This window comes from Homo sapiens, chromosome 6 (assembly GCF_000001405.40).
Source record: "Homo sapiens chromosome 6, GRCh38.p14 Primary Assembly".
NCBI classification, from domain to species: Eukaryota; Metazoa; Chordata; class Mammalia; order Primates; family Hominidae; genus Homo; species Homo sapiens.
Genome location: NC_000006.12, coordinates 160,987,915 through 161,012,422, shown reverse-complemented (window position 1 = coordinate 161,012,422; position 24,508 = coordinate 160,987,915). Strand labels below are relative to the sequence as shown.

The following is a 24,508-nucleotide window of genomic DNA, read 5'->3' as shown; positions in this document are numbered from 1 at the left end:
AGGCAGGGCATGCTTTATATTATGATTTATATAATAAAAAGATTATCTGGCTGGGGAGTACGGGAATATTCCCAAGAGAAACACCACTTGAAATGATTCCAAAAGAAAAGAGAGGAAAGGGCAACTGACGCATAGGAACCGACCCATACAAAGGAATGGAGCTGAGAAAGAACACAGAATGTTCAACAACTAGGAAGATGTTCAGTGAATTAAGACTCTAAATTCTCAGAGGCAAGGGGTTCAGCAGGACTATTGGGCCTGGATTTCAAGCTTAAAGCAGCCTCACACTTAGCTATTGCTGAGTGGCAAATTGGTGTAGGGAGGCAAGTTAAGGCCTCTTCACAAATGTGGACTCGAAATGCGTGGCCACCCTAATTTCAGCTAAATCTGAGGGTGGGGAGATTGCCAACTCAAAAAGCTGTCTGAGCCTAATCAAGGTTCTTAAAGGACTCAGTCACTAGGCAGAGACCGTACCAATTTCATTCACTGCTGGGGCCCCATGCCCCAGCACTAGCACTGCCTGATACACAGCCAGCACTTAACATATGAATGAGTCTGTCAGGAAAGGAATAAACCAGATGGGTAGGGTGGACTGCAGCAGTGAGCTACTACTGACTTAACTAGTCAGTACAGTTAAGCTTTACTATTTCATTCACCCAGTCTGGCTAACTGCTCTCCCTTTTTAGTAACTGTTCCTCAATACACACATACTCCTCCTTTGGTTCTCTGTTAAACAAGACTCAGATATTCAAAGAGCCAAGTAAACCTCTAAGGGCTTCTTTTGCAAAATAAAAGCTCAGTTCTGGCGTTGAACTTTCATGACGGTTTCTGGCATTTCCAGAAGTATTTTCCCTCACTTACTTCTGACATCCTACTTTTTCAGATAATTAAGTATAAAGAAACAGTTTCTAAATTATTTATTTTTGTTCAAGACATACCTAAAATTAAGTGTGTGAAGAAGGGAGGGGGGTTGAAAGGCAACCAATACGAGACTGCCACCATTTCACTCAGACACTGAAAATACCTAAAATCTACTGTCTCCGCTGTTTCCCAAAAAACAGAATCCTGAAAAATTAATTTAACTTTATAGAAAAAAAGTCACCATACTCATTTTATCAATTTACCTGCATGGAGGTTGATAACTTCAATGCCTGTTTAGGAACCTCTGCATTAAAGGAGTTATTTGGGTTTACTCTACCAGAGAAACTTTCCTTAAAAGCATTTTACTTTCAAATTCTTCATTAGACTTCCCTCTCATGGGCCTATTAGGACAATGAATGTCATTTGAAGTAACACAGCACCTTGTTTTCTCTCCACCTTCTCTTTCTTTGTAGTCCCTAACTCCTTCCCACCCTTCTTTCTGTTGTTCTCTTCATTTATCCACTCTCCTTACAAGAACTTCAAGAATTACACACCAATGAAGTGTCTAAAGCAAAAGCACCAGAGGTGGTACAGTTCTTTCTTCAGTGACTGCCTTACGGTGCTCTAAGGATCACACGCTTCTAACACTCAGAGGAATAAAAGACATCAAAAAAAAGCACACCCAAAGCTATACACAATAAATATAATCTCACAGCCTTCAATTAATTAACCTTAACTCAAAATTTCCAGAGTTGTGAATACAAAAATTGCATAAAATTGCAACCTACAAGTAGGTTCTATCAGACATCTGCATGTAGCAGGATAAATTCTTCTTTAAACTTCTTAAATAAACTATTAGTGTTTGAGTATTTAACAGGGGTTAGTCATAGTAAATATAGCAAAGTGATTAGTAATGATTCTCAACCTAGGTTTAGTCACAGTCAAGCTTATCTGCTCCGATTAAACAAAAATAAAGAGTAGGCAATTGTGCAATAAACTTGGACTAAGTAGGAAAACAAAATTTAATGGAATAACATGATTTTTAAGTGAACTTTTAAAAAAACATTTGAAAGAAACAAAACATATACCTATAGTTTTGAACCAAGAAATGTTTATTAAAAATAAACACTTTTATTAGCCTAAAATAGGGATAATTGGATAATTTCTAACAAATATTACTTGAGATTATTTATTATGTAACTATTTAAGAAATACTTTTAAAAAAGTTGTAACAAACCAAAAAATATGATAAGCATACAATTTTATGAGGTTCTAACACATCAACAAAGAAAGTTACTGATTTATTTACCAAACATCCTGGGCATCTCATGTGGTGCATATAGTACCAGGCACTTCGGGGATAAATGGAATACCTATGATAATAGTTACTACTCTCAAGTAGTACAGTCAAGAGGATACATGAATAATTTTTAAAACACAATAGGGAGAAATGTAAATAGCTGAGTGACATAAAACAGCATTCAACCTCACGATTTAAAATGCAAGAATTTAAAACTAAGAGCTTTTTCTTTTTTATTTTTTTTAAGTCCCAGGGTACATGTGCAGGACGTGCAGGTTTGTTACACAGGTAAACATGTGCCATGGTGGTCTGCTGCACCTATCAATCCATCACCTAGGTATTAAGCCCAGCATGCATTAGCTCTATTCCCTAGTGCTCTTCCCCGCCACCTCCTTCCCCCGACAGGCCCCAGTAAGTGTTGTTCCCCTCCCTGTGTCCATGTGTTCTCAGGAGCTTTTTAATTTATCAAACTAGCAAAGACTTAAAAATTATTATTGTAATGTCAAGAATAAACTCATATATTCCTGGTGGAAATTGGCACAAATATTCTCAAGAGCCTTTCAAAGATTTTTTTTTAAATGCACATATTCCAAAAGATAAAAGCAACCAAAATGTTCATCAATGGATGAATGGATAAATGAAGTGTGATATGTACACACAATGGAATATTATTCAGTCTTAAAAAGGAAGAAAGCTCTGACACCCCGTAACATGGATGAACCTTAAGAAAATTACACCAAGTGAAATAAGCCAATCAGAAAAAGACAAATGCTCTGATTCCACTTACATGAGATATCTAGAGTAGTTAAATTCATGAAACTGTAACACAGTGTTTACCGGGGTAGATGGGGAGTTGTTATTTAATGGGTATAGAGTTTCAGTTTTGCAAGATAAAAAGAGCTCTGGAAATTGGTTGCATCAATAGTGTAAATAAATGTACTTAACAACGCTACTGAACTGTACCCTTAAAAATGGTTCAGGCGGCCACGGTGACTCACACCTGTAATCCCAGCACTTTGGGAGGCCGAGGCGGGTGGATGACGAGGTCAAGAGATGGAGACCATCCTGGCCAACAGGTGTGAAACCCCGTCTCTACTAAAAATACACAAATTAGCTGGGCGTGGTGGCGCGCACCTGTAGTCCCAGCTACTAGGGATGCTGAAGCAGGAGAATCTCTTGAACCTGCAAGGCGGAGGTTGTGGTAAGCCGAGATCGTGCCACTGCACTCCAGCCTGGTGACAGAGTGAGATTCCGTCTCAAAAAAAAAAAAAAAGGTTCAGATGGTTTAAAAAAATGAATATGCCATGATACATTTATACAATGGGTATAAACATTATACCCATTGAGCAAAATGTTACACATTTTGCAGTAACAAGTATTTTACAGTAGCAAGAATGAAAGAACCACCATCAACCAAAACAACATAGATGAACCTCACAAGCACCATGCTGAGTGAAAGTAGTAGATGTAAAATATCAGTAAATGTCAGGATAATGAGGAAAGAAAGGGTAGTGTGTGCAAGAAGTAGGAAGAGATTTTCTAGGATGCTGCTCACATTTTATTTCTTCACTTAGGTAAACTTTATAACACTGTATTTGCTTTTGAACAATTTATCAAGCTACACATGTAATATACACAAGTATGTCTTTGTTAAATTATACAACAATAAATATCATACAAAAATTTAAACACAAAGTAGAGGGGAAACTACAAGGTCCTACATAATTGGTCAACTGCCAGCTCCTGTTTCATCTATTACCACATTATGTCAACGCTTATACAGCTCCCATTATACGTAAAACTCGGTATGTAAAATTCTGTAAAGAATAAAATGGATTATAATTTTACATATATTTACACACACACACACTTTGGTATAGTAATTATATTTCCAGGATTTTACTCTAATAAAACATCTTGACTAGACATAAAGATTAAGCTAAAAACAATGCTTTTAACCTCATTCATAACAGTAAAAGAAACAGAAACATCCTAAGAGTCCGACAAAAGACTGGTTAAATTAAGATCACAGCTTCCTAGAAGAGAAATATCAGAAAACACCCAGTGAAAATGAGTATGCAATTGCTACCCAACAAAGGTTCCTACTGGTAGACTGAAGTTATATCAAATATTATATAATAAATATCATCACTGCATCCCACTTTCCACTCTATCCCACTTTCTGCCTTTCTACCTTCTTTCTACTCTTTATGGGTTTACCAGAATTTTATAGAAGACAATAGCTATGCCTTACCATATTTATCACATAAAAAGTTTAATTAGAAGCAAGAGTCAAGGCCATACTTCACTGATTTTAAAACACACGTTTTTCCCTAATTTTAACATCTCTGATATTTCACCGTACCCTACAACTGATATAAAAAAAGCACTGTGTCATTGCTTCATTGCAGTTTTTCCTTAGTGACATATAAAATTTATGCTGCATATTACAATTGACAGCCTTTTATGTTTGATGAAACATTACTCTCTAAAAGCTCAATATCTATAAGTTAAATAAGCATGACCTTACTAGAAACAAAGCCTATTAAAGAGCAGAAGCACCAAATATGAACCAAAGCAATTTTTTTAAAAAGGAGAAAAACCTTTACAGATTTTCAGAGGCTATACAGGATCATGTCTGGGTATTTAAAATTAATTACTTCAAACTATTTAATACAAATGAAAATATTCTATGTTATAAAGGACAGAATGAGTTGGGCACTTACACACCCATCACTTGACACAACTGTTTAACTTTATCTGAGCCCTGTGCTCCTTAAGAGAGCAATGGATAGGAAATCCACGTTCTGTGTTCCAAGAAATGGCTAACCTCAAAGGACCACCATGTCCTTGCATATTGTAAAATTAGCCCTCCCTCTATCTTCCTCAGTAATTCCCACGTTTTATAAAACCCTAAGTTTCTCCCTCCTCTTCAAGACATTCCTCAATAGTGAATGTTTTTCCCCACTGCAATATCCCGAATAAAATCGTCTACTTAACTGTCCACTGTATTTTTCCTTTGTTTTGATGCCAGGACTCAAGCAGGATGAAGACCTTGCCTTCAGATCCCTGTTGACTCCACCCAAGTAACAAGACCTCTGGGTTCCCCTGTGCCTTGTTTCTGGTCTGTGACCTGGGGACACAACAATGAGTACAATTCCTGGTCCTGCGCTTTGGACCTTGCTCATCTGCAGCACAGTAAGGAACTGATTTTTACTCTGAGATTTGCTTTATTTCTGTTGCTGGTTACTTTTGATTTTACAGTTTGTCAATCTCCATAAACAAATTAATGGGTTATAATAGGGATATTTTTTCTGTTAGGAAAGATGACAGAGAACCTGATTATTTTTTTCTATTTGTCTACTTTGAGCTCAAATCAGTTAGGAATTTCATGACCACCAAGAAGCAGATCTCGGGACTGGAGAATGTTACATTTGCGTATGCTTGATCCATGACTAAAATTTTAAAATTGAATATATAGGCTTTCTCTTTGTGTTCTGTGTCTGTTTGTAACTATGAAAGGCCTATACCTCTCATTATGTGAGTGTATATTCTGTATATGTTCCTACCTTTAGATGATATTCTCAAATAGGTTATAAAATCCCTTAAAGGAGAGAGCTCAATTCTGACTGGCTCGCAGATAAGTACAGCCATCCTTCAGTATCTACGAGGGATTGATTCTAGGACCTCCCTTGGAAAAACAAAATCTGGGATGCTCAACTGTCTGATATAAAATGACGATATCTGCATATAACCTATGCACATCCTTCCATATACTTTATTTCTAGATTAGTTATAATACCTAATACAACATAATTACTATGTATATGATTGTTACACTGAATTATTTAGGGAATAATAACAAGAATAAAAAAGTCTGTACGTGTTCAGCACAGAAGCAATTTTTTTTCTGAATATTTTCAATCTGCAGTTGGTTGAATCCACAGATGCAGAACCCACAGATACGAAAGGCCAGCTGTCCTTCTATAAATTGAATAGTCCTAAAATGCTCAGAAGTCAAGGAAATTGCACCTTTAATTCAATGTGAGAAAAAAGAAGACATGGATCATGGAAACTAACTCAGAAACAGTTTCAGAATTCAAATTCACACAATTTAGGTAAACCTTTAGTAACTGATACTAGTTTATATTGTTGGTTTAATAAAACAGCCATGTTGGTCGGGCACAGTGGCTCAAACCTGTAATCCCAGCACTTTGGGAGGCCAAGGTGGGGGGATCATGAGGTCAGGAATTCGAAACCAGCCTGGCCAAGATGGCAAAACCCCGTTTCTATTAAAAATACAAAAATTAGCCAGGCACGGTGGCGGGCACCTGTAATCCCAGCTACTCGGGAGGCTGAGGCAGGAGAATTGCTTGAACCTCGGAGGCAGAGGTTGCAGTGAGCCAAGATTGCACCACTGCACTCTAACCTGGGCGACAGAGCAAGACTCTGTCTCAAAAAACAAAAATAAAAAAACAGCTATGTCTTCTCTGACTTATCAGTGTGTTAAATATACGCACAGATTTTTATTCTACTTGTAATGTTCTTCCTAAACTTATACATGTTTATTAATCAAATAAGCTAACATTACTACTACTTAATGCTTAAGATTCTAAAAAAGGTAAATTTGTATTTAAACAAATTTAATCATTATCTGACAAACTTTATTTCAATAATCACATCAGCTTGAAGATAATTTCCAAGGTCTCTAGGTAATTTAAAACTTCTGATACTAAATTGACTTAATCAATGGGTATTCATTAGATACCTACACCATTCCTGAGTACTAAAACACTGATTATTAAACACAATTTAAGTCTAAAGCTGGGCACAATGGCTCACACCTCTAATCCCAGCACTTTGCGAGACCGAGGCAGGCAGATTGCTTGAGCCCAGGAGTTCGAGACCAGTCTGGGCAACGTGGAGAAACCCCATTTCTACAAAAAACTTAAAAAACTAGCCACGCATGGTGGCATGTGCCTATAGTTCCATCTACTGGGGAGGCTGAGGTGGGAGGATCACTTGAGCCCAGGAGGTCGAGGCTGCAGTGAGCCATGATGGTACCACCGCACCCCAGCCTGGACAACAGAGTGAGACCCTGTCTCAAAAAAAAAAAAAAAAAGTTTATATACTTTTGTGTCTTGAGTCCATTAATGAATGTGTTCATTTTGAATACAGAAAGTTGTAGAAGGTTCATGGAAAGGGAATTTTATTTGTCATGGTCAAGACTGGATAAGTTTGGTGGTTTTAAATAAGGTTTTTAAAAAGACCTTTAGTATCAAATGTTATACTGATACAAAACTAAAATCGTGTTTTCTCTGTTTCAACGTCAAATGTTTATCAGATTACTGGTTTGCTCTTAATAGACTGTAAAAGTTATTCTTTACTTTTCTACATTATCTGCACAAACAGCAAGATTCTCTGTTTTACTATGAAAACCTATGGTTTCTGCCAACTTATTATGTCCTTGATTATTTAAGGAACAAGTTTCTCCTTCAGGAAAGTTTCTTGACGATCATGTTACCACTTATGTTTACTTTCAAAATATTTATTGTCACTTGGGTTAAATATAAAGTCATCTATTATTTCTTGGTAACCCACGATCCTATCTTAATTGAAGTTTTCAAATCTCCTGGCAACTTTTAATATTTTACCTTACCAAAATCAAATCATAAATATCATTTGCACCTAAAACTGTCTTTGAGATTTCCCAGATGGTGGTCCCCGAAACAATCACAAAGATTTGTTCTTTCACCTTTTAAAAAAAGAAGTGCTAGAAAATAATTAGGTTTATCTGTCATGTTGTTATTGATGAGTTGTCAAGTCAGAAGAAATGCTTAGCCTTCTCTAGGTTAAATGTGTATAGGTAAAATGTTGTAAATATTTCAGACTCTGCTTGCTATAGAAGTTAACAGAAAATTGTCAGTGCTCTCACTGACAATGATACACTGCTATTTATCAGAGTCCTGGTGCTACTTTGTTCGATATTAGACAACACAGCATTATGGGTCATAATTTCAGCTTTGTTTTTAAATGTTGACTTGGTCCCAACTTAATTTGAATCTAGTATCTTCCAGGCCAGTGGTTTTCAACTGGATATTCACATTACTTACCTATGATGTTTCATTAATAAGCACAGATAGATGTTCAGGACATATTCCGGACTTACAGAATCTCTTTCTCTGATATTCTTGGTATATTTTAACTATATGCTTGGTATATTGTTGGCATATATCAGAACTATCATATGTTATATCTAAACTTCTTTTTCTCAGTAATTATATTTATATACTTTTATTTCCCAGTAAAGATTAACTCTTATTTTCAAGAAAGAGTGGATATTCCATCTAATTTATAAAAATGGAATAGCCACTCTTTCTTGAAAATAGAATCCTTATGTTTATATGAATATTTTGTTTAAAAAAATTTTGGAATGACTTTAATCTTGTCTTGTACAACAAAGAAACAACCAAATATCCTTATTAATTGCTTTATTCTTATAATGAAATCTCATTGGATCTTTCACTTTTGAAAATTATAGTAATAAGTTAACCACAGCCACTTTAAGTTATTTTGTCATTTACAGATAGGTTTTCGTTCTACCTTGCTGCTTCCCTGACAGCACTTACAATCAGCTACAGGCCACAGTGCCTGTCTTCAACAAAGAAGAGCTGTCTTGGGACCCAAGGAAAAGGACTATGCCAGGTACCTTGCAGTACAGTCTTCTGATGTAATGTTTAAACAACTTTGAGAAGATACCAGTGGACTGACTCAGGATTTCTAGAACTCTAATCAAGAAGAAGATAAATTCATGAGACTGCTAACTAAAGATCAAGTGGAAAAAGAATTACACAGGACTGAATGAACTAATCAAGGATGACCGTGGATTCTGTTGAGAATATTGTTGCTGTTATTAATGTTTTATTTTCTGAATATATAAGGAGCCCTTTCCTCTTAAGCGATCTATACCTCATTACAATTTAGAATATGCTTTTGTAAATAAAATTATCCAGTGCATTTTGTCTTTCACACTGGTATGAATAACTTAATACCTTTCTAGAAAGAAACATAGCAACACCTCTCAAAAGCCTTAAAACTCTAAATATCTTATGACCTAGGAAGCTATCCTAAAGAAACAATCCAAAATAGTGAAAAATTCACAAAAATATTTGTATCAAGTCACTAATTGTAAGTGGAATCATATGTCACAAACCATATGTTATATCATGTTATCAAATTCAAACTATTAAATTATGGGATATACATCTAGAGGAATACAGTTTGCCATTGTCTGTCATAGGAAAATGCTCATGATATGGCAGCTTGTAAAAATAAACTGTATAAAAAAAATACACAGAAAAGAAATATGCCGGCCGGGTGCGGGAGCTCACGCCTGTAATCCCAGCACTTTGGGAGGCTGAGGCGGGTGGATCACAAGGTCAGAAGATCGAGACCATCATGGCTAACATGGTGAAACTCCATCTCCACTAAAAATACAAAAAATTAGCCGGGCATGGTGGCAGGCGCCTGTAGTCCCAGCTACTCAGGAGGCTGAGGCAGGAGAATGGCATGAACCCAGGAGGCGGAGCTTGCAGTGACCCAAGACTGCACCACTGCACTCCAGCCTGGGTGACAGAGCGAGACTCCATCTCAAAAAAAAAAAAAAAAAAAAGCCAAAACTATTTTTAGATGGCAGAATTAGAATTGGTCATTTTCTTCTTTATATGATTCATAGTTTTCCATAATAGATACAGGTTACCTTTATAATCAGGAAAATTTCTAACTGATTAAGTTACTTTTATTAAGCGAGAAGATTTCACTCACTTTTCTCAGGCAGTAGCTAGATCAATCTAGTTTTATTACGTGAAAAGATTTCATTCATTTTTCTTAGGCAGTGGCTAGATCAATTTGAAAACTATTCCTCTTACAGTGTATAACATTTAAAAAATGAAAAGAAAATTAATCCAAGTTATAAAGACACAAGTTAAATGAACTAAAAAGAATTTCCACAGAAAAAGACAGCTGTGCCTATTAACCTAAACAATCACAATCAGTAGCGTTACAGTTCTTAATTTAGCAGCATGATTTATGATGATCCAAGGGCCAGCCAGAATTCCAAACACCTGTAGGAATAATATGCAGAATAAACCACAACTAAAGTAAGAGAGAGAATCTGGAAAAGCTAGATCCAAAAAAAAAAAAAAAAAAAAACCTTTTTCTTATTTCTATGGCTTCTGCAGACGTTGGGGGGGAAATGTTTCTTGAATGGAGATTATTGCAGCTATTTTTAAAAGTATCCAGCCTCAATGCATATTTGGTGGCTTTTTAAGAAAATCACTATAGGATTTGCCTCTTTTACCTTAAGCCCAAAAAGAGGAAGAAAGAGAAATGTAATAAAACAGCTAATACTGAGCACTTACTATAGAACAGGAATTACTTAATCTTAATAACAACCTAGGAAGATGTTATTATTTTTGCCTTTCAAATGCGGAAACAGACTGAGAGAGGCTAAATTACTTCCCCACAATCCTACTGCTAGCAATCAAAAGGTAACATTCAAAGCCTATCTACTACCAAAACCTATGCTCTGCCTCCTTCATACAAGTGTCAGCAAAGAACCTGCTGTTAGGCAACGAGCCAGGAATTAGGCAATAAAAGTAAGCAAAACAACAGACGATGCCCCAGCCCTCATGGAGTTTACTGAAGGCAAACATAATAAACAAATATGTACACAAATATATAATTACAAATGGTGGCAAACTGCAGGGGCTCTGAGGACACATAACAGAAGGATCTCATCTATTCTGGGGGGAAGCGGGGGAAATGTCAAGGTGGACCCTAAAGTAAGCAATGCTTAAGACCTAAAGTGAAACTGCTGTACCCTAACATAGATTACATATGACATATATATCATGCATATACAGAATATATAGATGTGAAATATATTGTTTGAATTATTTGATAACATTTATAACACATAGCTTGAGACATACATGATTCCACCTATAATTAATAACTTGATAAAAATATTTTTGTAAATATTTTTTGTAAATTTTTCAGTATTTGGATTTGGATTTCTTATATATGTGTACACATATATATGTATATACATATATACTTATATACACTTGTATTATATATGTGTATATAATATATATTATATATTATATACATATGTGTATATTATAATATATAATATATATTATATACATATGTGTATATTATAATATATAATATATATTATATACATATGTGTATATTATAATATATAATATATATTATATACATATGTGTATATTATATATAATATGCACTATGTGTGCATATATATGCATATTATACACTATATATGTGTGTGTACATATATGTATAGTATAATATACATATATGTATGTGTACACATGTGTATATGTGCGTACACATGTGTATGTGTGCATACACATGTGTGTATATATGGGTGTACACATGTGTGTATATATGGGTGTACACATATGTGTGTATACAGATGGGTGTACACATATATGTGTGTGTATGTGTGTGTATATATGGTGTACACATATATGTGTGTATATATATCAGGGGAAAATGAGTTCCTTTCTTTTCTTAAGGACTGCTCTATGTGAAAAATTTTAAACACAGGTTACTGTTTCAGAGAAAGATCAACAAATTACCTAAATTATTCACATAATGCCAATCCCAATTTTACTCTAAAATTAATCCTAGATTTTAAACTGATCTTTACAATTCTTGTAGTTTAAGGATAAGCAGCCAAGAGAACAACCTTGAGAGACAAGCATAGATACATTCTTACTCTTGCCTTCGGGTAACAATGCTGTCTTCAAGAAGTAAGTATTGCCGAGCTTCTTCAAAATTCCATTTGATCATTTAGTAGACAAATAGTGTACTTGTTCTCCTGACTCAGTCTCAAGGGACAAGGTACAAAGTATAACAGCATCCATTTTATTTTGGGTAGAGCTATGCTTTTAAAACTGAGGGTCACAACCTATTTGTGGGTAATAAAATCAATTTAGTAGGTTATGATGAACAATTTTTAATAGAACAGAATAAGAATTATTTGAGTATCATATATTGCAAGGTCAAATACTGTTTCAAAATTGTTTTCTTTTGGTTATAAGGCACACACACACTGTCATAAAATATATTTCTTACTGTAGGTCACGACCATAAACACAGTTTCAAAACCACTACTACAGACCAGAAGTTAGAATCTTACTGTCTTCTTGATGTACAGACCGACGCCTGAAAATAACAACGTATCTGAAAATTTCTGAGCATTGGCTCTTCTTTATTCTGCGAGCAAGAAATAAAAGTTTCACGGGGGAAAAACGTTGTGGATGATGAGTTTTAAGAGGATTTCATATTTTCTATTTGCATTTTTTTCTAAAAACAAATCTTTCATCTCGTTTGATCCTGTTGAGTCCAATTCATCCAGAAAATACAGCATTTCACGGTTGCCAAGTAACTGTGCACATGGGCTTAAGCTGGGCTATGTATGGCAGGTGGCTGGAGAACACCTTGGCTTTGGACCTTGACCAGGGGAGCACATGGCGATGCGAGGGTAAGGGAAGAAGGGCTTGCAGATCTGGAGCCTAAGCTGTCAGCTGGGAAAGCTGCAGCCCCTCTAGGCCATTTTTCTCATCTCTAAAACGAGACGCACAGCCCAAATGATCTTATAAGAGCTCAACTCTTGTAATTCTATAAGCAATGGCTAGGAAGTTGGATGAAATGAACACTAAGCGTCCTACCATCTGTAAGAACTTGTATTAGCAAATGTTTAAATCCTTATCTGAGTAAGAACTAAATACTTAACAGATACAACTAACTAACTCCAAAAATTGTGTGAGAAAACCAAGTTATATCTACATTTTTATGTTCCCATATAAAAAGACTTTAGGATTTTAAATAAAATAAATGTACTATCGTCCAAAAGTTCCCCACTGAAACACTAAAAAGGTTGACAATTTCTATTAATTTGACAACTCTAAACTAGCTGTCCTCTAACAAGCCCTATTCAGAAAGTTCTACATTTCAGCAGTATCTTCAAATAGCCTGCTCACACACAAAAAAGCTTCCACTGAAAACATCAAATCTGATCAGCTTTAAAGCTTAGTATCTACTTTTCTCCACAGAAGGCTTATTTTGTCTGAAATGAAATCCATGTATGAAATGCTTTTGATAGACTGCCTAATATATTCTTAATAGCTTTCCCTGCTAATTTATAAACACGTGGCATCCATATGACCCATGAAACCAATACTGCTGAGGTAGGTCTGCAAATTGCAAAACATGAACGTTCTTGTAATTCAAAAACAAAACTTCATGTTGCCTGCTAGTGAATAAATATTTAAAGGCAAAGGCACTCGATTACACAGTGTGAGATCTGCAGGGGTCTAAAAATGCACCTACCATACTCACTGCCAGTGGAATAATGTATCTTTTAAAATATAGACATTTCAAGTACACCGCTTAAAATGGGGAAAGCATTTAAACACAATATACATGTTGAGAACACAGTTCTAGATTTTAAATATTTCTATTAATGTAAAAGACCACCCTAATGTAAGTCCTGTGTTTGTTTTGTTACTGTTGGAGTTGTTTCTAATCTACATACTCTATTACCCAAGCTGAAGTAAATAGTTTTTTAAAAGCAGCTTGCTACAGCCAGCTCAGATAAGCCAGCTCAGATACCAAAAATAAATAAAATCATTTAAAATTTGGCAACAATATTCTCTTTATATCACATGGACTCTCATCAATTTCAATTTTAGTAACAATTCAACGTAAAGAAACTTAAAATTATAAATGAGCTAGTTAAGAATTTAGGCTCTCTGATTAGCTTTTTATTTTAAAATAAAATGTGTAACACGTTCATCATAAAAAGTTTTAGGAAAAATTAGTATGTATTTTTTATATCTTTTTTCTATGCACATACTTTTTAAAATGCGATCACACTGAGTATTAGGGTTTTAAGAAGTTTAACTCAAATTAATAGTTTAAGCACAAATAGAGATTAGCTCACATCAAATCAGGAGAAAAATAGGGACAAATCTAGCACAAAAGGGCAACTGGCTGACAGTGTGGTGGTGCGCACCTGTAGTACCACCTACTTGGGAGGCCAAGGCAAAAGAATTCTTTGAGACCAGAAGTTTGAATCCAGCCTGGGTAACATACAGAGACTGCCATCTCTTTATTTATTTTTATTTATTTATTTATTTTAAAGGCAACTGGCCATAGACCTCTTTCAGCCTCTCTGCTTTTCTCTGGGGATTAACATCACTCTCTGAGACCAGGTCCTCTGTAGGAGCTTCAGGAAGCTAGCTCTAGGCTCATGAATTCTCAGCCTATACTTCAGTAAAATGCGCGTTTCTCTCTCCCAGCTCCAATTTGAAAAATCCCAGGAAAGAATCCTAATTGGCCTGGACTGGGTCAAGTGTCATGCCTATGGCCTGGCATCTGTAAGAAGAGGGCAGCTCCAATATGTACCATGTAGTTTGAGTCAAGAGAGGAATTCCCCCAAATAAGGTAGAAGGAAGACAGTGAAGTAGGGCAGACACAGCCGGTGGACAAATATGTGTATGAGATGAAAAACTACCTCAAATTTTGGCTCCCATCTTCTGCAAATTCTGTTTCATAGTCTGTTTGTTCTTGCTGAACACAGCGGTGAGTATGTATACATCAGAAATACTTGAGAATCTTCTTAAGAAGAGCTACTCAGGTACCACCCCAAAAGGAGTTGTATCATGAGCATCTTCACATGTCACTAAACACTATTTAAAAACAGTTTTTAATAACTGGATAGAATTCTGATGTGGTTCTGATTTTTTAAAATTTAATTTTATGACTTAAATCCAGAAAAGCCAGATACCATCATGATCCTTTTTGAACACAATATTCAAAAAGAATTTTATGAAAGCACCAACCACTGACATCTTTGCCACATTGTTCTGAGAAACTATGCTAAAGGATTCTTGGCGAGGGGTGGTGGGACAGAGATTATGGGGAGAATACTGGGTGGGGGATGGAGACAATAAGGTGATCCTCTGAGACTCACCATTAGTAAAAATGTACCGTACCACTGAGGTTTAAAAAAAGAAATCTTAAAGTGAGAAGGATAAAATATACTCCCAAATTAAAGCAGGAAAAGCAAGGTTTGTTATAAAGACTGAAGATTAAAACAAACATACTATAACCCAAACAATTTAGGAAAGTTTGTGACACAAGGGAAAAAAGCAGCCTGTGTGATGCCTAGAAAATAAAAACCTAAGAGTAAGTCTGGATCACACTGCCTCTCATTCAGAAGCAGGGGTGCACCTGCTAGGGATGCAAGCCCACCTCACTGGTCTGCTAACATGAGTCACCGGGATCATTCAACTCATTTCCCTTGCTAATATCATGCTTACTAATCAATCTCTTAATTATACTTTGGCTTTCTACAAGCAAGAGAATACACTGACTAACCAGGTGTACAGACAAAGCTGAGTATCTGTGCCTGAGAAGCCAAGCACAGTGAGTGTCTGGGCCTTGATTATCGTGCCAAGGGAGTGCCAGCTTATGAAGACCTACGGAGTCTTCAGCTAATCTCCTTCTCTCACGTTTTCCATTTTCTCTTTAAAGAAACCACTACCAGTAGCCTACTGATAGGCAACGTTAAAGAGTCTTCAAACAGCATACATACTACCTGGTCAAATGACAAGGCTGAGACAATAGAATGCTATGAGTAAAATCATAGTCATGAGGAATGAGGAATTATTAAATAACAGGAAGTTATTACAACAAATGTATCCAGTGAGCAGGCAAGACCTTTATATCCCCGTATTTCAGCAGAGCTCAGAACAAGATTTGCAGGACACCATGAGAGCATACATGAAGGAAACAGAGTGGCCTCTAACAATGACAGAAAATTAAAGGGAACTACAAAGTCCTCCTAAGTGACAAGTCCCCAGTTGAAAACATGAAGTTTCTGCCATCACTGCTGTTTGGTGACTCCTCTCTGCCTAACGCCACCCCCGCCAATGGCATCTACTGTTACAGTGGTGTAAAGGCATGACCATCACTGATGCTACACCAACAGTCTGGAGCACCACAGGAGGCTGACTTTGCCAGGGAGAACAGTTGACATACAAGGTCAAGACTGAAACACACAGGCTCAAGGTGGACATTCAAGCCGAGAGGCAGAGCAAATTGCCTAGGAGTGACGACATTCAACTAGTTTTTTAGTAGGAAATCCAGTTTTTCAAATGAATTTACAATAAATATATAAAGTAAATAATTCATTTTTTAAAAAAAGTTAATTGTTAAATTTATGCAGCATGTACTCATAAGGACAATGAGAACAATGAGGCTATTTTTAATATAAATATTTTAAATGAAAGGTTATAGTAAACAAGAGCATTATATCAGCCTTAATATCCAATTTATTCTGTGTTTTAGGTGTACAGATCCAATAAGTCACAAAGGTAAATTGTTCCAAATTAGTTTTAATAGCTCTCCTAGTCACCTCAGGATCCTCCTAAAACTGCCCCAGAAGCTTGAAAAAGAAATGATAAGCAATGTTTATTTCAAAATTTAATCACTAACAATAACAACAGCTATCCTTATCATGAATTCTTTATCAAAAATAAGGACAAAAGTATCCACAACTGACAGCAAGCAATAAAACTGGAATAGAGTACTATGACCTCTCTGCCTGTTTTGTGTTGCTGGGTCACTGCATAACACTCTTGGGTCAGGAGGAAAGCACACACTAGGCAGATGTGCTGGGCTGGCTGCACCTGCCACGATGGCACACTTGCTGCACAGCTTTGGAGGCCAACATGTACAGGCCTGAATTCTACAAAAGGCCTGTGCATTAACACAACCTTCCTAATCAATGACACACAGACATAAAGTATGTGACAAAGATGGCAAACAGAGTTTTATTCTAGTCTGTGGCAAAACCAGTTAACCTGGTAGCATAAATTATCACATTATTGGTTTCCAATGTATTAAAAGGTGGCATTTCACACATTTTCAACAAACATAAGAAAAAATGCTCAACATCACTAATTATCAGGGAAATGCAAATTAAAACCACAATGAGATACCACCTTACTCCTGCAAGAATGGCCATAATTTAAAAATAATAATTAAAAAAATAGACAATGGCATGGATGTGGTGAGAAGGGAACTCTTATACACTGCTGGTGGGAATGTAAACTAGTACAACTACTGTGGAAAACAATATGGAGATTCCTTAAAAAACTGGCCAGGCGCAGTGGCTCACGCCTGTAATCCCAACACTTTGGGAGGCCAAGATGGGCGGATCACGAGGTCAGGAGTTCAAGACAAGCCTGACCAACTTGGTGAAACCTTGTCTCTACTAAAAATACAAAAATGAGCTGGACCTGGTGGCAGGCACCTATAATCCCAGCTACCCGGGAGGCTGAGGCAGGAGAATTGCTCGAACTCGGGAGGCAGAGGTTGCAGCGAGCTGAGATCACGCCACTGCACTCCAGCCTGGGCAACAGAGAAAGACTCTGTCTCAAAAAAAACTAAAAAAACCTAAAAACTAAAAGTAGAACTACCATTTGATCCAGCAATCCCACTACTGAGTATCTACCCAAAGGAAAACAACTAATCATATGAAAAAGACACATGTACACACGTTTATAGCAGCAATTCGCAATTCACAACTGCAAAAATATGGAACCAACCTAAATGCCCATCAACCAATGAGTGGATAAAGAAAATGTGGCATATATACACCATGGACTACTACTCAGCCATGAAACAACGAAATAATGGCAACTGCAGCAACTTGGATGGAGCTGGAGGCCATTACTCTAAGTGAAGTCACTCAGGAATGGAAAACCAAACATCGTATTCACTTATAAGTGAGAGCTAAGCTAGGAGGATGCAAAGGCGTAAGAATGATATAATGGACTTTGAAGACTCGGGGGAAGGCTCAGAGCGGGGTGAGGAATAGACTACATATTTGGTACAGTGTACATTGCTTGGGTGACAGGTGCACCAAAATCTTAGAAATCACCACTACAGAACTTATCCATGTAACCAAAAAACACCTGTACCCCAAAAACTATTGAAAATAAAATAAAAAAGAAAATTGTAAAAAAAAAAAAGAGGTGGCATTTCACACATTTTGAACACGTACACTGAGCTCCTCTAAAATGGTTAAAAAAAAAAGTTCAAATGAACAACTGGATAGACCCCCTACATCTTTTACCAAAGATCTACAGTAATTCTGTCAGAGGTCAGTTCTATGTATTGAAGAGCAGGTGGTGACAACGAGGACATAAAAAAGAGAAAACAACAGCTTTGTCAAGTAATCTGTTTTACAGATTTTTCTATTGTAAAATTAACTGCAATGTTGCTAAGAAAAATATTGAGATCTTCTTGTTCCGTACACTGCTGTTCACTTACAGTTGGATGAAACCCATTATCCTGACCTATTTTTATTATAACACAGACAGAAGCCTGACTGAAAAGTCAAGTTTTTTTTTTTTTTTACCACTGAAGCAGCAGTCATTTTTGCAGCACATTTTCATTTCTCTGCCCTTCTCGCTTTTACCTAAGAATGCTCATGTCCATTTCTTTCCGGAGTAGGGTTATACAGAATTCTAATTTCTGATCCGCCCATTTGGATAATGAATTCTTCATGGTGGTTAAAGACATGGGCTGTGCAGCCAGACCTTTCTTCATTACCAGCTGTGAAACCCTGGACAAGATACTTAAACTGTGTGCCTCAGTTTCCTCATCTGTCAAAAAGAGAGTATAACAGGACCTACCTCATAGAGTTGTTGAAAAGATTAAATGGGTTAATAGAAATAAAGACAATGGCCTATTTTAACCGTTAAGTGTTCACTATTAATTTTAAAGAAAAAGGTATCAAAATTGCTCGAAAACTGATCCGTTAACAAATTTATAATAAACTTTCTGACAAAATTTCTAAAAATACTAGATGTATTCAAAAGGAACCAAAGGAATTCTCATTACACCCTGTACCATTATTCAGAGAAGTTGTTCCTTAGAAGTACCCAGAACTATCTCAGAATTAAAAGAGGCAACTAATTTCTTCACAGCTTATAAAAATAAAACAAATTTGTTTGGGCCAACTGAATGATGACAAGCAAGAATATGGCTCCTGTGTTCAGTTCTAACTACAGTTACAGGTGTGAATTTTCTTTAAGCAGGAAAAAGAGGACACTTTACTGCCTTATTCCTAGAACCATAGAGCAAGACCATAAGATGCCAAGAGGAGCTGCCGAGGTATTTTCATTACAGGGGACAGGGGGCAGCAGTTTGCAAGTTTACTCTGGGATGCAAAGGACAGGGAGTAAGAGGACATTTGAACATACAAACATAGGCACGTAAAAAGAGGGAAATTCTCAGTTATGGTGAGTTTGTTCTCTCAATTAAAAAAAAAATAAAGACATAAAAATAAGTTAATAGAGTATGGAAGAAAAAGCAACAAATGCTTTGGTTACCGAAGTTCCACCTTAGAGCTTCCTGCAGTAGCAAAGTTTTAGACAAATGAATCCTTACTTTTGTGCACGTGTGAGCAACAATCTGCACAATACTAGCACTAAAGGACAGTAAGGGGCCCTCAGAACAGGAAAGCAACGTATCTGTCTGCATAGTCTAAGTGCAATTTCTCACGGAAGAGATGACAGGCATTCTCTGGAGCGGGCAAAAGGAGAGGAGGAGGAGAACGCGGGGAAATAGCCAGTACGCACTCGATTTCCGAATGTCTCTTTTACTCGAATGAGGGCAGAGGGGAGGGACCACTTTCGTTCAGTAATGATGAGAGGCACTTCAGTGAGGCCACTCTTCCGAAGCTAGCGGCAGGGGAGGCAGCCGCACTCTGCTCCCAGCCCCCGCAACGTTGAGGGTGAGCTGGGGGAGTCTACAAGGGAAGGGGAGCCGGCAACACGCTCGAGCGGAACCCTGCGGAGCTGCAACCCCGGGAGGAGTCGCCGGACAGACTCAGACGCGGTCCCCTGGGACCCAGGGATGCACCGCGCCCCTCCCGCCCCAGCCTGCAGAGACTGGATGCTTCCCTCCCCACCTGGCGGGAAGCAGAGGCCCTCGGGCCCGACCGAGTTCGGGCCAGGACCCGCCCCGCTTTCTGCGAGCGACCGACTGCGGCCGCCACACTCACCTCGCCGCCAAGCAGCACTCGGGTTCTGACTCGGTCTCGGGTTCCGGTGGCGGTGGTGGCGGCGGCGGCGGTGGCGGCGGCTCCTCCATGGCGGCGGCAGGCGTGACGGCAAAGGCGGGAGGAGGGACCAGCGCGGCAGCGGCTTCTCTCATCCGTGCACGGAGCCCCGCATGGCCGCGGCGGGCAGTAAGCTGCAGCCTGGCGCGGGGCACCGGAGCCCCGAAGTGCGGGAGTGACTCGACTCCGCCTCCGCCTCTACCCCGCCGCAGGAGCCGTGCGCGCCGCGGCCATCTTGGAAACGGCGACCGGCCGAGCGCCGGGGCTACGGTGGGCGGCGAGGGACAAGCCTCCCAGATCGGCGGCGGTGGCGGCGGCGGCGGCGGGCGCCGGAATGCGACCGGACGGGGGCGGAGACGGCGGCAGGGAGGGGCGGGGAGCGCCGTCAAGTGTCGGCGCGATTCGGTCCTGGAGCCGGGTCTCGCCAGCTCGCCCGGTGTCGCCCCGGCCGGTGGCAGTGGGGGACTGTGGAGCGGAGCCGGGCTGTGCAGCGGGCTGGGAGCTCGAGGCTTCCCAGGCGGTCGTCGGTCTGGGAGGGACGCTGGGTAGGGCCGATGAGCGGGGCGGGCGCGACGCTATGAGCCCGGCCGGAGTCGCCGCCCAGGGACCTGCCACCCGGATCCCACCTTCCAGGAGGACGGACGTCACCCAGACGCTCGCAACTCCGGTCTCTTGACAGCGCAGCCTTCCACAGGCTCGAATTTTTAAGACTTGACATAAAGTCTCCGGAATTCCAGATTATTAAAGTGACCCCCTCATTTCAACCCGGCAAAACTTCTCACCCCAGTGTCATAAGATTCGATAGCGATCTCCCAGAAACTTGGACTGGAATGCTCCTACACTGAGGGGATGGGGGGAAGAAGAAATGCTAAAGATTATTTCAGAGTTACAGAAATCCTGTTGAAATTCCAATGCATCGTTTACTCTTAGCGCTGGGGCTTCACAGTTTTTTTTTAAGTTGGAAATATTTACAAAATTTCCCATAGGGTGAAATCCAGAGTTAATCCAAAACCAGAATCTTTTAAAATTAAGTACATTCAAATGTGCAGATTTCTTAAACCTCATTTAGTTGAGCTTTGATAGGTGAAACGCACGTTTTGAACAACTCTGGTAACAAAGAAAAACATTAAATTGATTATAGGTATGTTATATTTAAAGACCAGTTGTGAAATTAGCTATATTGTGCTCAAAGTATGTTACTGACATTTCTCCGTCGTTAAAAGGAACTGCTCCATTCTAGTTTTTTATAATAGTCTGTATTATGTATATAGCCTGATAGTGCTGAATTTCTGAATTGACCTTCATCTTATTTACTCAATAATATTCATTTGACAAATACTTATTAAGTGCATATATGTGTCAGGAACTGTACTAGATGCTGAGGATATAGCAGTAAGCGCAACAGACCAAGCTAACAGCTTAGTAAAGGGTGAGGTAAAACAAAACAAAAAAGTATTCAAAAAAATAAACTAATTTTTATCTTAATTTAAAAAATTACAAATTTTTAAAAATCACAAATTGGTATCCATGTATAATTCATTTCCGTGCATTTTCTTGTGTGAAGAAAGCTCAGTAAAAGTATTTCTTAGGTTTCTGTAATTCTAGTTCTCTACTCGATTTTCTTCTGCAATTTTCTGAGCCAGAACCCTTCTTAGAAGGCATATTAGAGACTTTAAAAGTTAAATAATAAAATAAATCTCTTCTTTAAACAGCATTGTACTACGTATTCTTTGGTATGACTACCGAATTTAAGCTAGCTGATAATGCAGACACGTGTGTCCAAGTCACAAAACACTTAGCAAATATAATCAGCATGCGGGAGACCTGTGGCTTGTTCTTGTGTTTTAATTTCCACTTGAGGATACTATGTATTTTAGCAGGAACCAAGTAAATTTACACTTACCTAATCAAGTAATGCATCATGTATAGAAACCTAAGTTAACTGGTACTAAATATTCAATATAAGTGTTGTGACTTTTCGCCCCACCCCCATGCTGGGTCCAGGAAAGCTGTTTCTCTGGCTGACAACCCTCTCATCTCACCCCGTGCCCCCACTTTGTCTTCAGGGCTCCCAGTGAGCGCCTCACAGCCCCCAGATTTCTTTTCTGCCTTCTCCACCATAGTGTAAGCTCCTTCAGGAAAGAAGCTGTTCTTCCTTCTTCTGACCTTTGCCTAGGGATCAAATGTCTCTGGTGCCCAACATGGTGTTAGTAGAACTCAGTAAGTATTGTTGCATTAATGAAATAGTTATTTTTTTTAAGTTATTAGATTTTTGTCTCTAAATTTTTATTCTTGTTTAGCACATGGTTGGTCTCATTGTCTCATTACCTTTAATAATGTTCTTTTTTTATTTTGGAGACAGGGTCTTCCTGGGCTCAAGTGATCCTCCCACCTCAGCCTCTGCTGTAGCTGGGACTACAGATGCATACCACCATGTCCAGCTAATTTTAAACATTTTTTTTTTTTTTTTGGTAGAGCTGAGGCCTCACTATGTTGCCCAAGCTAGTCTTGAACTCCTGGCCTCAAGTCTCCCAGAACCCTGGGATTATAGGTGTAAGCCACTGCACCCAGCCTAATCATGTTAAAAACAATGACAACAAAATCTTCAGAGAATTACCTTTCACTCTTTGTCCTCAAGACCGAATCCACATAGCCCTTATGGAATTTCTTTACTTTGAAATGAGTTTAAAAAGCTAAGGTTCTACTGAAGACCTAGTCTAGGTTGAGCTACGTAACATTCAGAACATTGCTTACCATGAGTTTAAAGCCCATTTTTGACATACACAAAACCAGTTACATATTCATATGCATGTTCTTTCTGCTTTGCCAAAAACACTCAAAAACCTTGGACATATGCTACCACTATTATGAAGTCTCAAATTTCCTCTCTATATAGTGTGTATATATATATATGTACATAAATGTAAAGGGCATAATTGTAACACCTTAGCATATTTCAAGGCTAGTATATTAGTCAATTTTATGGATTTTGCCACAGGATTATTTAAAAAAAATTTTTTTATTTTGAGATGGAGTCTTGCTCTGTTGCCCAGGCTGGAGTGCAGTGGCGTGATCTCAGCTCACTGCAACCTCTGCCTCCCAGGTTCAAGCGATTCTCCTGCCTCAGCCTCCTGAGTAGCTGAGATTACAGGCACCTGCCACCACACCTGGCTTTTTGTATTTTTTAGTAGACACAGGGTTTCACCATGTTAGCCAGGATGGTCTCAATAAAATAAGTGATGTGATAAATAGGGTTATGTCTGCTATTAAAAAGAAAAACCTCTAAGGCTATAGTTTTTAAAATTATTATTAGCGTGGTGCTGCATTTTACTTAAAATAAGTTCCTCCCTTCCTTGTGGTATTCCTGAGGGAGCACACCCCTTCATTTCCTTCTGGAAGTGCAGGGAGTTAAAACCAGGAGAGCCCACATTTCTTCATTCCTGTTCTGGTTTCTCAGTTCCCCCCGACCAGATTCCGGTGTGAACATTCAGACAAAAACTTCAGCAGTTCTGGCCCTCTGCTCTCTGGTGGCTCCTCTACAGCTCCGCAGAGGCAGAAAGACAGGCAGCACAAACATGCAATCTGCTCACGACCAGAGGGGCTGATTAATTTTCACTCCAGCACACGCAGAGAAAGGCAGACCCAGTGAAAGAGAGCAATAAAAACCTCACATCCATTGGAGAGGACCTAAACTAAGCACGACACACATTGATTTTTTGTTTCATAATGATACAGTGGCATCTATTTCTATCTACTGGTAAAACACCAAAGAAATACTGGATATGTACAAAAGATAGTAAACTTTTTTAAAATTTACTTTTAAGATTAGGTGTACATCTGCAGGTTTGTTATATAGGTAAACTTGTGTCATGGGGGTTTGCTGTACAGATTATTTCAACACCAAGGGATTAAGCCAGTACCCATTAGCTATTTTTCCTGATCCTCTCCCTCCTCCCACCCTCCACCTTCCAATAGGCCCTGTGTGTGTGTCCATGTGTTCTTATCATTTTGCTCCCACTTATAAATGAGAACATGGATGTTTGATTTTCTGTTCCTGCATTAGTTTGCTAAGGATAATGGTCTCCAGCTCCATCCATGTTGCTGCAAAGGAC

The 24,508-nt window shown here is 38.4% G+C and overlaps 1 protein-coding gene and 1 long non-coding RNA gene across 8 annotated transcripts in view, besides 9 other annotated features; one reads left to right on the top strand and one right to left on the bottom strand.

The window, feature by feature from the left end:
• Positions 1-20,654, bottom strand: part of MAP3K4 (mitogen-activated protein kinase kinase kinase 4) — a 125,612-nt gene extending 104,958 nt beyond the window's left edge. For all 7 annotated transcript variants that reach the window (NR_120425.2, NM_001291958.2, NM_005922.4 and 4 more), the window contains exon 1: positions 20,340-20,654. Coding sequence is in view for 5 of the 7 variants with exons in the window: in NM_005922.4 (NP_005913.3) it covers positions 20,340-20,491 (152 nt within the window). In the remaining 2 variants the exon portion in view is untranslated. The remainder of the gene's footprint in view (positions 1-20,339) is intronic.
• Positions 10,495-10,996: an enhancer, noted in NCBI's record as "NANOG hESC enhancer chr6:161422459-161422960 (GRCh37/hg19 assembly coordinates)". NCBI's record gives its function as "activates a minimal SCP1, AML or CMV promoter by ChIP-STARR-seq in naive H9 embryonic stem cells {active_cell/tissue: H9 hESC(naive)}" and the evidence as "EXISTENCE:reporter gene assay evidence [ECO:0000049][PMID:30033119]".
• Positions 19,849-19,978: a silencer, noted in NCBI's record as "silent region_17766". NCBI's record gives its function as "represses an Ori minimal core promoter by ATAC-STARR-seq in GM12878 lymphoblastoid cells {active_cell/tissue: GM12878}" and the evidence as "EXISTENCE:reporter gene assay evidence [ECO:0000049][PMID:35858748]".
• Positions 19,849-20,186: a biological region, named in NCBI's record as "Sharpr-MPRA regulatory region 85".
• Positions 19,892-20,186: a silencer, noted in NCBI's record as "tiled region #85; K562 Repressive non-DNase unmatched - State 1:Tss". NCBI's record gives its function as "represses a minimal TATA promoter and a strong SV40 promoter by Sharpr-MPRA in K562 cells {active_cell/tissue: K562}" and the evidence as "EXISTENCE:reporter gene assay evidence [ECO:0000049][PMID:27701403]".
• MAP3K4-AS1 (MAP3K4 antisense RNA 1) lies at positions 20,081-22,105 on the top strand. The gene has a single exon (NR_174962.1). It is a non-coding gene; the product is annotated as an MAP3K4 antisense RNA 1 (long non-coding RNA).
• Positions 20,247-21,116: an enhancer, noted in NCBI's record as "H3K27ac hESC enhancer chr6:161412339-161413208 (GRCh37/hg19 assembly coordinates)". NCBI's record gives its function as "activates a minimal SCP1, AML or CMV promoter by ChIP-STARR-seq in primed H9 embryonic stem cells {active_cell/tissue: H9 hESC(primed)}" and the evidence as "EXISTENCE:reporter gene assay evidence [ECO:0000049][PMID:30033119]".
• Positions 20,247-21,138: a biological region, named in NCBI's record as "H3K27ac hESC enhancer GRCh37_chr6:161412339-161413208".
• Positions 20,649-20,978: a silencer, noted in NCBI's record as "silent region_17765". NCBI's record gives its function as "represses an Ori minimal core promoter by ATAC-STARR-seq in GM12878 lymphoblastoid cells {active_cell/tissue: GM12878}" and the evidence as "EXISTENCE:reporter gene assay evidence [ECO:0000049][PMID:35858748]".
• Positions 21,069-21,138: an enhancer, noted in NCBI's record as "active region_25408". NCBI's record gives its function as "activates an Ori minimal core promoter by ATAC-STARR-seq in GM12878 lymphoblastoid cells {active_cell/tissue: GM12878}" and the evidence as "EXISTENCE:reporter gene assay evidence [ECO:0000049][PMID:35858748]".
• Positions 21,159-21,218: an enhancer, noted in NCBI's record as "active region_25407". NCBI's record gives its function as "activates an Ori minimal core promoter by ATAC-STARR-seq in GM12878 lymphoblastoid cells {active_cell/tissue: GM12878}" and the evidence as "EXISTENCE:reporter gene assay evidence [ECO:0000049][PMID:35858748]".
• Positions 22,106-24,508: the final 2,403 nt, after the last annotated feature.